General features: G+C 41.9%; 1 long non-coding RNA gene across 1 annotated transcript in view; it reads right to left on the bottom strand.

Moving 5' to 3' along the window:
- LOC105373903 (uncharacterized) overlaps positions 1-17,262 on the bottom strand; it is a 40,146-nt gene that overhangs the window by 21,704 nt on the left and 1,180 nt on the right. The window contains exon 2 of the long non-coding RNA XR_001739904.2: positions 8,131-8,252. This is a non-coding gene — a long non-coding RNA (uncharacterized LOC105373903). The remainder of the gene's footprint in view (positions 1-8,130; positions 8,253-17,262) is intronic.

Genomic DNA, 17,262 nt, shown 5'->3' with positions numbered 1-17,262 from the left:
CCATCTCTTATATAGCCTAATTCTAAAACACATGAATAAAAGAGAACTCACTATGCCTGTTTGCTATCATTTTGATTTCAATCAAAATAGAATTGTTTAGTAACGCAAAAGCAAAGAACAGTGAATTTTTTTTTTTTGTGGGGGGGAGACAGGGTCTTGCTCTGTCACCCAGGCTGGAATGCAATAGTGCAGTCATAGCCCACTGCAGCCTCGACCACTTGGGGTCAAGCGACCCTCCCATTTCAGCCTCCCAAATAGCTGGGACTACAGGCATGTGTCACCATACCTGGCTAATTAAAAAAAAATTTTTTTAGACATGGGATCTCACTATTTTGACCAGTCTCAAACTCCTAAGCTCAAGCAATCCTCCCACCTCAGCTCCCAAAGTGCTAAAGATCACAGGCATAAGCCACTGTGCCTGGTGAATAATGTTAAGCATAAAAAGGAAGAAAGCCAAATTAAAATATATTTGTAGGCCGGCCGGGCGTGGTGGCTCACGCCTGTAATCCCAGCACTTTGGGAGGCCGAGATGGACGGATCACGAGGTCAGGAGATCAAGACCATCCTGGCTAACACGGTGAAACCCCGTCTCTACTAAAAATACAAAAAAATTAGCTGGGTATGGTGGCGGGCACTTGTGGTCCCAGCTACTCGGGAGGCTGAGGCAAGAGAATGGCATGAACCCAGGAGGCGGAGCTTGTAGTGAGCCGAGATGGCGCCGCTGCACTCCAGCCTGGGCGACAGAGTGAGACTCTGCCTCAAAAAAAGAAAAAATACATATATATATATGGGATTAAAATATATATGCCATAGCAATTGCTGAACTGCCACCCTCTAGAATGGCTTCACCAAGGAGCATATCTTATTCTCTAATTCAATTGCGGAAGCAAATTCAACATTCAATAAACATTGACTACAGCTGTCTTCCAGCCGGGCCCTGTGCTATGCATCAGGGATTAAAATGCAAACCAAAAAGCATGCATGAGAAAAATTCATGAATCCCTACACTCATAGATCTCACAGTCCTGCAGGAGACTTTCAGCTTGTAATCAGCACCAAAATCAAGGTGGATGTACAGTCCTATAGAAACGAAGATATGAGAGAAGACATTCCATCTACCTGAGATTAGTCAGGAAAATACGTTGAAAAAGACGCTTAGAGTGAAGGCATGGAGGACTTTCCAGTAGCTTGCTAAGGGATGGAGGTGGGGGCAGACATTCCAAGGAGGAGTAGTCATATGAAGAGAGGCACATCTGCAGGACAGGGTGTGACTTTATGGATGACTATGCCCCAGGACAGTACTGATAGGAAATACTAAAATATGCCAGTGGTTACCCCTTGGCTCTGGGATTAGTGGTGAATCAATTTCAGCTTCATCATTCCCTGTCTTTTCCAAAATTTAAACAAATAGACTTAAGTTATTAAGGAAAATTATTGCAGTTGTTCTTTTGGTTTTGTGTGTGAATGGAGCATTTGGGAATATGGCTAGGAAGTAAAGAGGTCAAGATGCTGAGGGTGAGAAATGATTCTGAAATAGAGACTCTGGTTAGGGCAGCCTCAGAGTTCCCTGAGTTGAGGAGACTGGCCTCTGTCTGAGAACAATGGTTCTTAACGCTGGCTTAGGTGCTTGAAAATACAAATGCCCAGGCCTCACCCAGCCCAATGAACAGAGACTCTGGAGTGGGATTCAGTCCTGGTAATTCCCCCAGGGTAGGCTCTTAAGCAAAGGGCAGGTACGGACAGACATGGACACCCAGGAATGTGTGTGCAATAGTGAGAGATGCTGGAGGCTGAAAGGGGAGGAATGAGGCCAGGAGGGAAAGGGGCAGTGCTCAGAAGAGCAGCAGCCAGTGACATTTTGGGGCTATAAGAGGTAGAAATATGCCAGATGAAGGAGAGGGGAAAGGACATTCCAGGCAGAGAAAACACTGCACAAAGGCATGGAGGTTTACAGGAAGCAGGAAGCAATGTTTTGACCAGAGCAAGGTGCAGAGAGGACAGGAGGAGACGAGTAGGGTGAGGTTGATGACAGTGGGTTTAGTTTATTTTTAAAAAAATCTTTGCAGCTGGGTGTGATGGCTCATGCCTTTAGTCCCAGCTACTCAGAAGGCTAAGGCAGAAGAATTTCACTTGAGCCCAGGAGTTCAAGTCTGCAGTGAGCTATGATCACACCACTGCACTCCAGCCTGGGAGACAGAGTGAGACCTCATCTCAAAAAAAAAAAAAAAAAAAAAAAAAGAAGAAAGAAAGAAAAAAATCTTTGCTATTAAATCCTTAGCTTCTCAAGATAGATTTTCTTTTTTGCCACTCATCAGTTATGTGCATGGCTATTGAGTTATTACTGATTTTCAAATTATTTCATCTTTCAAGTTTCAGTTTTATGGATACTGCAGTTAGTTCTCATTGGCCAATGCTTATAGTCTATAATTTGCTTAATAGAGATAGGCTGTCACTCTGTTGCCCAGGCTGGAGTGCAATGGAGCGATCTTGGCTTACTGCAGCCTGGAACTACTGGCTCAAGTCATCCTCCCGCGTCAGCCTCTCAAGTAGTCAGGACTACAGGTGTGTGCCACCACACCTAGCTGATTTTTAATTTTTTTGTAGAGACAGGGTCTTGCTATGTTGCCCAGGCTGGTCTCAAATTCTTGGCCTCAAGTGATCCTCCCACTTTGGCCTCCCAAAGTGCTGGGATTACAGACTTGAGCCACTGGGTTTTGCCCATAATGTTAGTATTTAAAACAACAGAGTCTATTGGTCTAGAGCAGGGGTTTTCAGCCTCAGTATGGCCGGCTTTTTATGCTGCGTAATTCTTTTATGGTGGGGGACTGTCTTGTGTATTGCAGGATATTGAGCAGCATCACTGGCCTCTACCTACTAGATGCCAGTAACATCTACCCTCCACCCTCTTTCATGCCCATTCCCAGTTGTGATGATCAAAGGTCTCCAGTCAAGTGTCACTTGGGGACAAAATCGTGCCCCATCTTCAACTGAGAACTACTTGTCCAGAGATCTAGAGTCTAAATCTAGACTGATTCTTCTCAAATGTGCGTGCATATGAATTCCCTTGGGGATCTTGTTAAAGCGCATGTTCTGGCTCAGTAGGCCAGGAGCGTGGTCTCAGAAATTTTGTCTGTGTAAAAGGCTTCAAGGTGATGCTGATGCTGCTGCTCTAGGAAGAACACTTTTGAGTAACCAGGCTCTAAACCCCACATATATTCACCCCATTGAATGGGATGGGGGTCATGTTTATTGTAGCTTTCCATTAATACATTTGAGAATTGGCTGTGGCCTCTGAGTATTCCTAGGGTCCCTTTATGCCATTTTATAGAATTCATGAATATGAGGGCCCACAAATACACTGAAGGCCATCATTGTGTAGCCTGCAGCCCTGGTTAATTTATGTATGTAATATTATTCACCTGGAAAGCTTTCTTTAATTGCCACATTGTTAATTCATCCAACTGCAAGAAGAGCAATTATAATTTGATTTTCACTGGCAGCAAATGTTTCCATTTAGTCACATGGCACTTTCTTATTCCAATCACACTCCATTGTCTAATCAAAGTCCATTTTTGGATCATGATAAAATGTTGTCCCTTTAAATAGCCTAGGAGTTTTTCAGCTGAAGTAAATTCAAATTGTCCACCCAGATGAGCCTCACATGATGGAACAGATGTGATTTGGAAGAGTTGAGCTGGAAAATATGTTTCCCAAAATTAAATAATATTTTCTCCAACTTACATAATAGGAAGTATACTTCCCTTGAAATTATACCCTTAGAAGACAACCATCTAGGAGAATGTCACTATTAAAAATCCATTCAACATTCTTTTATTTCACAAATATTTACTGACCACTACAACAGGCCAGGGACAATTGCAGGAGCTGGCAAGAGAACTGTGACCCTGGCCAACAAGATGTGGTCTAATGGGGAAAGCAGACAACACATGGGATGATGTTGGACAGAGATAAGTGCCCAAAAGAAAAACAGTGATGCTCTGATATGGGAGGTGGTATGGGTGGTCAGGGCACCCTCTCTCAAGAAATGTTGCATGGAAGCCGAGATGCTAATGAGAAGGAGATGCCTCTGCAAAGATCTGAAATAAGGACATATCTGAGGAAGGCAAAGTGATGTCATGTATGAATAGTGAACTGAGGCCAGGCGCAGTGGCTCACGCCTGTAATCCCAGTGCTTTGGGAGGCCAAGGCAGGTGGGTCTCCTGAGGTCAGGAGTTCGAGACCAGCCTGGCCAACATGGTGAAACCCTGTATCTATTAAAAATACAAAAATCAGCTGCGCATGGTGGCAGGTGCCTGTAATCTCAGCTACATGGGAGACTGACGCAGGAGAATCGTTTGAACCTGGGAGGTGGAGGTTGCAGTGAGCCGAGACTACGCCATTGCACTCCAGCCTGGGCGACAAAAGCTAAACTCTGTCTCAAATTAAAAAAATAGTGAACTGAGAAAGCAGAGAAAGGAAAGGACAAAATTGAGAGTCAGAAAAGAAAAGGTTTGTCCCCGCTCAGACACTTACTAGCTCTAGGAACTTGAGCAAAATTCTCTCATCTTCTTTAGGTCCCAGTATCTGCAGAAACAAGGGGAGTGACCTAGATCAGTGGTTCTCAAACTTGGCTGCAATTTGGAATCACCTGGGAAACTTTCCAACCACTGATGACTTCACTGGTCTGGAGGACGGTTTTGGGCATGGGGATTTTAACACTCTCCAGGTGATTCTAATGTACTTAGCAGTTTGAGAGCCCTGAACTAATTATCTGTGAAGCTGTGTCCCAACTCTACCACTTAGAGATATCGGCTACCCCTGTAGTGGAGTTCAGTGACCTCAACTGGCCCAGCCTCCCTGGGCCTCTGTATCTGCAGCTGCTGAATGTGGGGAGTTGACCTGGATTTGTCTCTCCACTTTCATTTTATTATTATTCTATGGCATGATTAGATTGTTTGCTTATTTAACAACAGGGCTGAAATCCCATCTTGGGCCAGCTGTCTTTTTCCCAGCTGGAAGAGGTAATGTGATATTCCCTGCAGGGCTTCTTTCTGTCTCTCAGCCTCTCCAAAGCAAATGTACTTTTCCATCTCTTTCAACTGTAGTATAAAAAGAGAGGACTATGGTCACACAGTCATAGGCATTTCCTTTATAAATGAAGGCAAGCAATGAAATAGCTCTTGGCCTGCCACCCAGGTAAACTCAAGACAAATTTAGAAACATCGAACTTGCACTATCCTTTGACAAAACAGAGTGAGAATATGTTTTGTTTTGTTCTTTGACTATTGCGCACCCACTCCTTTCTTACATTCCTTAAGATACAATCCAAAAAGACAGGTAGTGTTTTCAAAGGCCAAAGCTCGCTAAAGAGCTTAACTCTATTAATGACAGAGGGCACTAAATTCCAGCTCAAGCGGATTAGCCTAGTTAAGTCCTCAGCATTAGGGTCTCGTCTAACACCAGGCCTGCTAAGAAGCTGTCAGCCCTCCTTCTCGCAAATCCTCCCTAAACTCCCAATAATAGCAACTTAATCTATGAAGAAAGCAACAAAGGAGAAGCTCTAAGTACAGCCTGTGCCTTAGAGAAGAGCTATCCTTTGGAATAGAATGTGAGCAGCATGGATTATTTTAAACTTTCTAGTCATTCTATCAAACAAGGAAAAAGGAACAGATGAAATGAATTTGAATTCTTGTTTTATTTTGCCTCATAGAACCATAGTATTATCATTTCAACACATAATCGATATACAAACTTTATGAATGAGATATTTTACGTTCTCTTTTTCTTAGCAAGTTTTTGAAATCCTGTGAGCATTTTACAGCATATCTCAATTCGAGCTACATGCATTTCCAGGGCTCAATAGACCACATGTGGCTTGTGGCTACTGTCTCGACAGAACCTCAGAGGATCCTGTTTACTTTTGCAGTACGGCAGCAGGGGGAGAAACAGGGTTGGCTGCAGGGTAGGGAGATGGAGCCCACTAAACATTTCTTTAAACAAATATAAAACATATTATTCTACATAGGAAAACATGTTAACAAATTTATTTCTTTGTTAAAGAGATCTCGTAGTGAGCTGAAATGAGAAAAGGCTGCCTTTGTCCATCTGGGCTGCTGTCATAAAATACCATAAACTGGGTACCTTTTAAATAACAGAAATTTCTTTCTCACGGTTCTGGAGGTTGAGAAGTCCAAGACCAAAGTGGAGCAGATTCAGTGTCTGGTGAGGGCCTACTTTCAGGCTCGGGGTGGCACCTTCTAGCTGTGTCCTCACATGGTGAAACGTTAAGGGAGCCCACTGAGGCCTCTTTTATAAGGACCCTAATCTCATTAATGAGGACTCTGCCTTCATGCCCTAATCACTTCCCGAAGGCCCCACCACCTAATACTGTCACCCTGGGAATTAGGTTTCAACATAGGAATTTTGCGGGGACCACAAATACTCAGACCCAGACCACGGCGAAGGCTTTGGAGCCAAATAGATCTGGATTTAAATTCTGCCTAAGTCAAAGTCATACCATTTTTAGGCAAACCTAAAAAAGTAAAAACCTTTCTGAGTTTCTGAGCCTCACTTTCCTCAACTGTTAAATGGGTAAAATTCCTCCTCATCAGACTCATCATGACCAGCCACCTTGGCCATACAATTAACCCAAATTAATAACCCACAGTGCAAGGCATGTATAAGAGAATAGACTGTTAAAGCAAACTAAATACGACCTGAGAAGGACTCTGTACTTCCATATTTGAGTCCTTGTAGATGAACTGCAACCTAATGTAATAAGTAGACAAGACTGAAAATCTAACTTAGGAGTATTTGCCTGTAACAATCATTGAGTCTTGACCAATCACAGCAGCCGTGCTCCAACCACTCACACACTGCCTAGTGTTCAAACTGTATTCAAATAAGTCAAACACCTTATTGAGCTGTACTCAATCCCGTTGTTTCTGAACCTCACTTCCGATTTTGCTATGTCACTTCCCTTTTTTTGTCTATAAATCTTCTTCCACCACGTGGCTGTGCTGGAGCCTATCTGAATCTGCTGTGATTCTGGGGGCTGCCTGTTTCGTGAGGTCATTGCTCAGTTAAACGCCTTTAAATTTAATTCTGCTGAAGTTTTTCTTTTAACAAGACAAAGCTAAACCTTAACTGGGCCGTAAATTGCCAAGTTTAGGTGCTATGTCAGTATTGGGGGCTGATTAAAATTAACTTAGTATTTGGCTGGGCACAGTGGCTCACACCTGTAATCCCAGCACTTTGGGAGGCTGAGGCAGGCAGATCACCTGAGGTCAGGAGGTCGAGACCAGTCTGGCCAACATGGTGAAACCCCGTCTCTACTAAAAATACAAAAATTAGCAGGGCATGGTGGCACATGCCTGTAATCCCAGCTACTCGGGAGGCTGAGGCAGGGTAATCGCTTGAACCCAGGAGGTGGAGGTTGTAGTGAGCTGAGATCGTGCCACTGCACTCCAGCCTGGGCAACAGGAGTGAAAGTCTGTCTCAAAATAAAGAAAAAAAAAAAGAAGGAAGAAAACATCCAGCAGAGTGCTGATCACAGTGGCTGGTTGCTGAAGAAATGTGGGCACGCTCTTTGACATATGCATCCCACAGTGCCTTGCATACAGCGGGTAACCAGTAAATTATGAGTTCACTACAAAATTACGGCATTAACAAAAGCAGCAGCTGTGGACCTGATTCTTATCAAAGGAAAGCTCAAGAGCCTTAAGCCATACATATTGAAAGAAACCCAAATGCTATTATTTTATCTGTATTTTCCTCTAACTTCTCTGGCTTTTACAAAGGAACTGCTATTTGCAGCAATTTACCATATCAGCTATTAACATGGCTCCAGAATATAGTTTTAGCTTTAATTTTTCTTATAGGTGACTTTTTTTTTTAACTAAAACGGAAGACTGTGATATGCTCCAATTTTTTGATGAAAATCAACCTTCCTCCATTCTCTGCTTCATAAAACTCCCTGATAATGGTGGCTCATGCCTGTAATCCCAACACTTTGAGAGGCCAAGGCAGGAGGATCGCTTGAAGCCAGGAGTTTGAGACCAGCCTGGGCAACATAGTAAAACCCTTTCTCTACAAAAAATAAAATAAACAGCTAGGTGTAGATGTATGTACCTGTAGTCCCAGCTACTCAAGAGGCTGAGGTGGGAAGGTGGCCTGAATCCACGAATTGCAGGCTGCGGTGAACTACGGTGGTACCACTGTACTCCCTTCAGCCTGGGCCAAAGAGCAACACCCTGTCTCAAAAAAAAAAAAGCTTAAATTTTATTTTAAAAAAATAAAAGAAGGTTATTAAAGGGCTTTCAGTGCAATTTTTATCACAATTCCAATGACATTTTTCACATAAGTAGAAAAAACAATTCTAAAATTAACATGGAAACAAAAAAGACCCTGAATAGCCAAAACAATTTTGAGAAAGAACAAAGCTGGAGACAGTTGCTGATTTCAAACTATGTTACAAAGCTATAGTAGTGAAAACAGGATAGTACGTGCATAAAACTGAACACATAGACCAATGGAACAGAATAATATGCCCATAAATAAACCCATGCAAATAAATAGTCAACTAATTTTTGACAAAAGCACCAAGAACATGCAATGGGGAAAGGAAACTCTCTTTAACAAATGATGTTGGGAAAATTGAATATCTACATGCAAAATAATAAAAGTGGATCCTTGTTTTATAACATATTCAAAAATTAACTTGAAATAAATTTAAGAATTACATATAAGATCTAAGACCATAAAATTCCTAACAGAAAACATGGCCAAAAAGCTCTTTGTATTGGAAGCAATGATTTTTTTTTTTTTTTTTTTTTTTTTTTTTTTTTTTTGGCCATGACACCAAGAGCACAAGCAACAAAAGCAAAAATAAACAAGTGGGACTACATCAAACTAAAAAGCTTCTGCACAACAATCAAAAAAAGGAAGAGGCAGCTAACAATAGAATGGGAGAAAATATTTGAAAACCATATATCCAATAAGGAGTCAATATCCAAAAAATATAAAGAACTCACACAACTCAATAGCAAATAAATGAATAAATAAATAATCTGATTAAAAAATGTGCAAAGGTCCTGAATGGACATTTTCCAAAGAAGACTTACAGTCAATGGATATATGAAAAATGCTCAACATGACTAATCGTTGGAAACATGCAAATCAAAACCACAGTGAGATATAATATCACACCTGTTAGGATGGTTATTTCCAGAAAAGACAAGGGATAAGTGTTGGTGAGGATACGGAGAAAAGAAAGCACCTGTACACTATTGGTGGGAATGTAAATTTGTCCAGCCATTACCAGAAAATAATATAGAGGTTACCCAAAACATTAAAAATAAAACTATGATATGATCCAGCAGTTCTACCTCTGGTTATGTAACTGAAGAAAATGAAATCAGTTAAAGAGATATCTGCATGCTCATGTTCATTGCGGCACTATTCACAATAGCCAAGATATGGACTCAACCTAAGTATTGATCAATGGATGAATGGAGAAAGAAATTGTGGTTCATATATACAATGGAATATAATTCAGCCATAAAAAAGAAGGAAATTCTGCATTTCTGACAACATGGATGGGACCTAGAGAAATTGTGTCACATGAAATAAACCAGACACAGAAAGACAAATGCTGTGTGATCTCACATACAGAATCTAAAAAAGTTGAACTTATAGAAGCGGAGAGTAGAATAATGATTACCAGGGATTAGGGAGTGAGGGAAATGGGAGATATTGGTCAAAGGGTACAAACACTCAGTTATATGATGAATATGTTCTAGGAATCTAATGTAAAGCATGGGTGGTGATGGATGTCTTCATTTTATTGTAGTGATCATTACACAATATATACATATATCAATCATCACATTCTACACTTTGAATATATACAATCTTTATTTGACAATTAAGTATTCTAAAATAAAATTACAAAGAAGGGTAAGGGCTGAGAACGGAAAGAAACAGAATGATCAAAGACAGAGTTGGCAGTGTTAGGAAATCACCACACTGCCCTTGCTAAAATATATGATATTCTAGAATGCTTAAGAGTTTCAAAAAGACAAGAAATATCTAATTTTAAGAGTTTGGTGTTGATAGTGGGGGAGGCTGAGCATGTAGGGGACAGGAGATATATGGGGACACTCTACTTTCTGCTCAGTTTTTCTGTGGGCCTAAAACAAATGTAAGAACATAAAGCAGTCAGGCATGGTGGCTCACACCTGTAATCCCAGTACTTTGGGAAGGCTGAGGCAGCAGGATCATTTGAGCCCAGGAGTTCCAGACCAGCCTGGGCAACATGGTGAGCCCTTGTCTCTGCAACAAATTTAAAAATTAGCCAGCTATAGTGGCTCATGCCTATAGTCTCAGCTACTTGGGAGGCTGAAGTGAGAGGATCACTTGAGCTCAGGAATTTAAGGCATCAGTGAGTTGTGATCAAGCCACTGCACTCCAGCCTGGGAGACAGAACGAGACCTCGTCTCAAAATAAAATAAAATAAAGCCTATTTAAAAGAGGGTGGGAAAAGCAGTTTGGCTCAGGTAGAAAGCCCAATTATAAACATAGAATGCTGCAATGACCACCATGTTATTGTGTGAAACTGATTTTTTTTCTTGTATTTAGTCATAATGAGACTGAGTTGAAAAAAAGGGCGGCTGGGGGCGGTTTCCAGGAAATACAACAGCTTCAAAAGAGATGGACATAGAGGCAAAGCTTAAAGTAAGAATCGCAATTAGCAAGTCAATAAAGGCTTGGAGGTCAGCTTGTGTTGCTGTTGTTTTACCAGACTTAGAGGTTGCAGGATCTGCAGGATCTTTTTTACTTTGGTGGCTGTGAAAAAGTCAATCTGGGTATGATTTCCAGTGCCTGGATTCCTATCTTAGGGTTCTCCAAAGGCACAGAACTAATGGAATAGTTAGTTTATATTTTTAGCAGAGGCAGGGTTTTAGCATGTTGGCCAGGCTGGTCTCAAACTCCTGACCTCGTGATCCGCCCGCCTCGGCCTCCCAAAGTGCTGGGATTACAGGTCTGAGCCACTGCGCCTGGCTGGTAAATCTGTGTTTTAATATGAACATTCTCGAGGTTTAATAGGCCTAAATAAAACATAGCTTCAGGTCTGTGGGCTGCCACTTCGTGACTTCGGCTTAGAATAATTTTAAAATTGTATTGGGCAGTGGAGATAAAAGTGCTGCAGGCTACAAAGGAAACAGACACATATATGCAGGAGTGAAGGTATAAGGTAAAGTGCTATAATAAAGGCAAGTTCAAGGTTGATGGCATAGGGGAACTAGGAATTTGCAGAAGATCAAACTCTTGGTTCCTCTCGTCTTTGCAATATGTATCAGACATTTATTTGAAACTTGAATGTGTATGGGCATGACACATGTCTACAACATTAGTACAAAAGTGTCCCAGTACAATAAGCCTATAGTTACGTCCTGTTTCCTATTATAAAAGCATTCATCTTGGCTGCTGACTGTTGACTTCTTTTTTTAAAAAAAAAAGCAAATTGGACTTTACCAGTGGTTCTCTACCAGGGATGATTTTGGCACATTTGGCAATGTCTGGAGACATTTTTGGTTATCATATCTGTGGGTAGCAGGAAGATGCCACTGGTATCTAGTGGTTAGTGGCCAGGGATGCTGCTATACATCCTAAAGTGCCCAAGACAGCCCCACCATCAAGAGTTACGTGGCCCAAAATGTCAACAGTGCCAGAGATGAAAGACCCTGACCCAGGGGTTTACAATCATACCCTATAGCCAAATACTAGATATTGCAATTCAATCTGCTTTCAGATGTACCATGACCGAGAATTGTTTATCTCTCTCCTTTCTTCAGCAGTGCCAGGCTAGCCAGGTCTCCTCTCTGTGTTATGCAGGGACAATCTGCTTTCGTTGCTATCACTCCCAAACGGGCACACACAAAATCAACTCACAGAGCAGTGGAACAAGTGAGCTCCTGTTTAACAGGATTCAGGCTCCATGTGTTCTCTACTATTCTTCTTATTATTACTTAATCATGTCCTTGAGATCTCACCCTCCCAGCTCAAGTAACTTAGCAAAATATTTCTTTCCAGTAAATAATGAGCTTTCTCAAAAGGAATTCTGGTGTAAAACATTATCGTTAACTGGTTGTTTCAAGTGATTGTGGTAAACTTTGAAGTTGTATTTGTCAGACAAAAATCTAGCACATCAGTGGACCTTTGTAATGAAACTGATATGAAATTCTGATTTTATCATTTAGAAATGTAGGAAGTTTAATACCTCAAAAGTATTGTAAGAATTGAAACGGCAGCACATGCAAATACGTATCAGATTAAAGCTAACAAACGTGCTATTTTTCCCTGTTTCTCAAAAACAATGCAGTGTTTTGTGAAGCTGGCCTAGTTTTTCTTATGGCTCTTTGTCAATTTTAGACTAAGTAGAGTTGTGTTAAAGGGGATGTGGGAGGAAATAGAAGCCGTATGTGTGCACTTGTGTCTGTGTGTTTGTGTGTGTGTGTGGGGAGGGGGGCGGTCCACTGCATGGGTGTATGGATGGTGGTACTAAGAGGAGGTGAATTCTGCTACCTCAATGGCTGACAACACTGAAAACATTGGGAAAACCCCATCTGGATATACAGTTCATATAATATAGCTTTTAAAAAGTATCTACAATTTCAAATTCAAATGAAGGGCGAAGGAATTCAGCTTGGTGTAGGTTCAGTGAACTGGCCTGAAGGACTGTAATTCCCATCTGAATTCTCATCCCAGCTTTATTCCTGATGGTCCTACCATCCCTCCTTATCTTGTGGCTCTCAGCCAATGAATATGTGCTTTTCAAGTCAAGATCAGATTCCCCGCTCCTTACCTATGAGGATGGAAACCCATATAATTTCCTGTGTCTGTGTTAAACAATACTGGGATAGGAAATATTGTCCTGATGTTAAATAATAAGCAAATCCATCTTATCTACTTGCTCCAGGAAGTAAATGCTTGCTCCTGGAGGATAAGATTAGAGATGAGCAGAGGCTGGGAGAGAGGGAGAAATGGGAAATGCCTGCTTAATGGTTACAGAGTTTCTGCTTAGTATAATGAAAAGGTTTTGGATATAGTGATGATGGCTGCACAACAATGTGAATGTAATTAATGCTACTGTATTGTACACTTAAGAATGGTTAAGATGAGGCCAGGCACAATGGCTCTTGCCTGTAATCCCAGCACTTTGGGAGGCCAAGGTGGGAGGATCACAAGGTCAGGAGATCGAGACCATCCTATCCTGGCTAACATGGTGAAACCCCGTCTCTACTAAAAATACAAAAATTAGCTGGGTGTGGTGGCATGCACCTGTAGTCCCAGCTACTTGGGAGGTTGAGGCAAGAGAACCGCCTGAACCCGGGAGGCAGAAGTTGCAGTGAGCCGAGATCATACCACTGCACTCCAGCCTGGGCGACAGAGGGAGACTCCATCTCAAAAAAAAAAAAAAAAAAAAAAGGTTAAGATGGTAAATTTTATGTTCTGTGTATTTCACCACAATTTTTTTTAAAAAAGCCTGGAGACTTTGCTGTTCTACTATCTTTTCTTTCTTCCTCCTACCCCATAGTCCTGCATGACAGAGTTTAGGGAAAGGAGAACACAGATCTCCTGAACCCAAATGTTTTCAGAAAACCAGGCCAGTAACATAAATAAGTGAAACCAGCCAAATGGTCTGCTTTAGGGAATAGGAGGAACTGGGGTAAACGGGAGAGCGTGAGCCCTTTCTAAACAGGCCCACTCACGGATCATCTCCTGACACTTATTGCCATGCAGAAATGCAGGCCCCAGCGTTGCCAGGCCTTCTCGTTTTACTTTAAAAAAAAAAAAATTTTTTTTTTTTTTTTTTTTTTTTTTTTTTTTTTTGAGATGAGTCGCCGAGGCTGAAGTGCAGTGGCGCAATCTCGGCTCACCGCAACCTCCGCCTCCTGGGTTCAAGCAATTCTCCTGCCTCAGCCTCCCAAGTTGCTGGGATTACAGGCGCCTGCCACCCCGCCCAGCTAATTTTTATATTTTTAGTAGAGATGGGGTTTCACCATGTTGGCCAGGCTGGTTTCGAATTCCTGACCTCAAGTGATCTGCCTGCCTCAGCCTCACAAAGTGCTGGGATTACAAGCGTGACCCCCGCACCCGGTCTTAAAAAAACTTATTTTAGATTTGTGAGTACATGTGGGTTTGTTGTACAGATTATTTCATCACCCAGGAATTAAGCCCAGTACCCAATAGTTATGTTTTCTACTCCTGTCCCTCCTCCCACCCTCATTTTTAAATAGACACTAGAAATCAGGATTTTTACGAGAAATTTTTTATTTTAAGCCTGTGTGCCTTCTAGAACTCGGGGCAGATGTAGATGGAGGCCATCTGTTTGCGTTTCCTGGTCTTCTGCTGATCTGCTGACCTGACCCCAAGCTTGCAGCTGGCATTGTTGTCAACACTAGAAGGTGGTCCAAGATAGGAGAGCATATTTTTCTGGACTTAATGTATAATTAGCATAAAGGTTGCTAAACAGGATGATGGGTAACTCCATATATATATTACATATATCTATGGACTATATATGGACTCTACTTAGTAGTCCTCATTTTTATTTTCCCAAAGGCTTTGTTGATACAATTGTCAGATAAGGTCTTGTCTCATGCCCTTCCTGTGATGCCGCGTGGTGTGTGTACGAGAGCAAGAGAGAAAGGAAGTCTGAGGCTGGAGCGAAGAAAAGGAAGTGGCGTGTTTGGTTGGAAGCCGGGAGAATGCCCCCAATCACTGCTTTCAGAGTCTAAATGGCAAAGAAGGATCTTGACTTATTTCCTGTGTTATAACTTCTTAGCCTCTGTGAATAGCCCACCACCAGCTCAGCCGCCCTGATTGTGTGTGTCTTGATGCCAATGGACTCTGCTGCAGGATGGCATCAGCTGCTCTGAGGGCATTCCCCAGGGCAGAGGAATTGCTTTTCCTCTCTTCTACCAAGAGGCATACTAGGAATTGCTGCAATATTGACATGTGACTACATTAGGCACAAAAAGTGAAATTTTAAATCACTGAACGTTAGAAGCTTCAGAACGAAAGGTGGAGGGAGAAAGTGGAAGGGAGGACATGGAGTTGGTCGCTTTTTTTTTTTTTTTTTTTGAGACAGGTTCTCTGTTGCACAGGTTGGAGTGCAGTGACATGATCATGACTCACTGCAGCATCCACCTCCTGGGCTCAAGCAATCCTCCTGCCTCAGCCTCCAGAGTAGCTGGGACCACAGGATTGTGCCACTATGCCCAGCTAATTTTTTCATTATTTGTAGAGACAGGATCTCACTATGTTGCCCAGGCTAGTCTCAAACTCTTGGGCTCAAGTAACCTCCTGCCTTGGTTTCCCAAAGTGCTGTGATTATAGGCATGAGCTACTGCCCCTGGCTGAGCCCAGGAGTTTGAGGTTACAGTGACTTGATTGCACTACTGCACTCCAGTCTGTCTGATAGACTGACACCCTGTTTCAATAATAATAATAATAGGCTGGGCGCAGTGGCTCACACCTGTAATCCCAGCACTTTGGGAGGTCAAGGGGAGTGGATCACTTGAGGTTAGGAGTTCGATACCAGCCTGGATAACATGGTGAAATGCCATCTCCACTAAAAACACAAAAATTAGCCAGGCATGGTGGCCAGTACCTGTAATCCCAGCTACTCGGCAGACTGAGGCAGGAGAATCGCTTGAACCCTGGGGCGGAGGTTGCAGTGAGTAAATATCGCGCCATCGCACTCCAGCCTGGGCGACGGAGTAAGACTCCACCTCAACTAACTAACTAAATAATAATGAAATATTCTGTTGTAGGAGTGGGGTTAGCAAAGATGATGCCTTATTGTAATATCTTTTGTTTCCTTAAAATTAACTTCAAAATAGAATAAAATTGTTTATGAGTTCGCAGCCACGTGTATAAAAGTTGATATATGCCAGGCATGGCATATATCACACCCGTAACCCAGCACTTTGGGAGGCCAAGGTGGGTGGATCACGAGGTCAAGAGTTCATGGCCAAGAGACCAGCATGGTCAACAATGGTGAATCTCCATCTCTACTAAAAATACAAAAATTGGCCAGGTGTGGTGCCACACGCCTGTAATCCCAGCTACTCGGGAGGCTGAGGCAGGACAATTGCTTGAACCTAGGAGGCGGAGGTTGCAGTGAGCCAAGATCATGCCATTGCACTCCAGCCTGGGCAACTGAGTGAGACTCCAACTCAAAAAAAAAAAAAAAAAAAGGTGGTATATGCGCGTGCGTGTGTATGTATGAGTGGTGGCTAAAAGTGGAGGAAAATTTTTCACTACATACTCTTTAATATTTAAATTTTGAATGTTAAAAATATAACATCTACTCCAAATATAAAATAAAATAAATATACAAGTTCAATAAGGCTTGTTATGTTTGATTGTTTATTGGTTACTATTTTGCATTATGATTTCATAAAGAAAATATTCCTACAACATAAATTTCTGGAAATGCAAAAAATAAAAAAATTCAGCCAAAGTTTTTTCTCTTTAATTTTTAACTTTTTATTTTGATATAATTTTAGACTTACAGGAAAGTTGTAATAAAAAGTTCAGAATTCCCACATATCCTTTACCCAGTTTCCCTTATGTCAACATTGTACATAAATAGTACAATTACCAGTACCAGGAAGTAAACACTGGTACCATATTACTACACTAGACAGACTTTTTAGCCAAAGTATTAACCTTGAAGCCCAAGTAAGCATTTAGAAATTTATTTGCTGACTGCTAAAAAAAAAAAAAAAAAAAAAAAAAAAAAGCCCAGAACTAAAAAGTTGGCCAGAAAGTTTCTTTTTATTTTTTTGTTGAGACAGTGTCTAGCTCTGTCACCCAGGCTGGAGTGCAGTGGTGCAATCTTGGCTCACTGCAACTTCCGCCTCCTAGGTTCAAGCAATTCTCCTCCCTCAGCATCCAGAGTAGCTGGGATTACAGGTGCCTGCCACTACGCCCAGCTAATTTTTGTATTTTTAGTAGAGACAGGGTTTCACCGTGTTGGCCAGGCTAGTCTCAAACTCCTGACCTCAGGTGATCTGATCACCTCCGCCTCCCAAAGTGCTGGGATTACAGGCGTGAGCCACTGTGCCCGGCCTGAAAGTTTCTAAGATAGTCTTTGACTGTAGTGCCTAAAGAAAATTCTTCAATTGTCTACAATGGGAGAAGGGATCACTTAAGGTTGTCAGTTGTACCATCTTTCTTGTTTCCCACTTT

The sequence above is a fragment of the Homo sapiens genome, chromosome 2, assembly GCF_000001405.40.
Source record: "Homo sapiens chromosome 2, GRCh38.p14 Primary Assembly".
Lineage (NCBI taxonomy): Eukaryota > Metazoa > Chordata > Mammalia > Primates > Hominidae > Homo > Homo sapiens.
The sequence above is the reverse complement of the archived record's forward strand: the minus strand, read 5'-3'. Positions and strand labels throughout refer to the sequence as shown.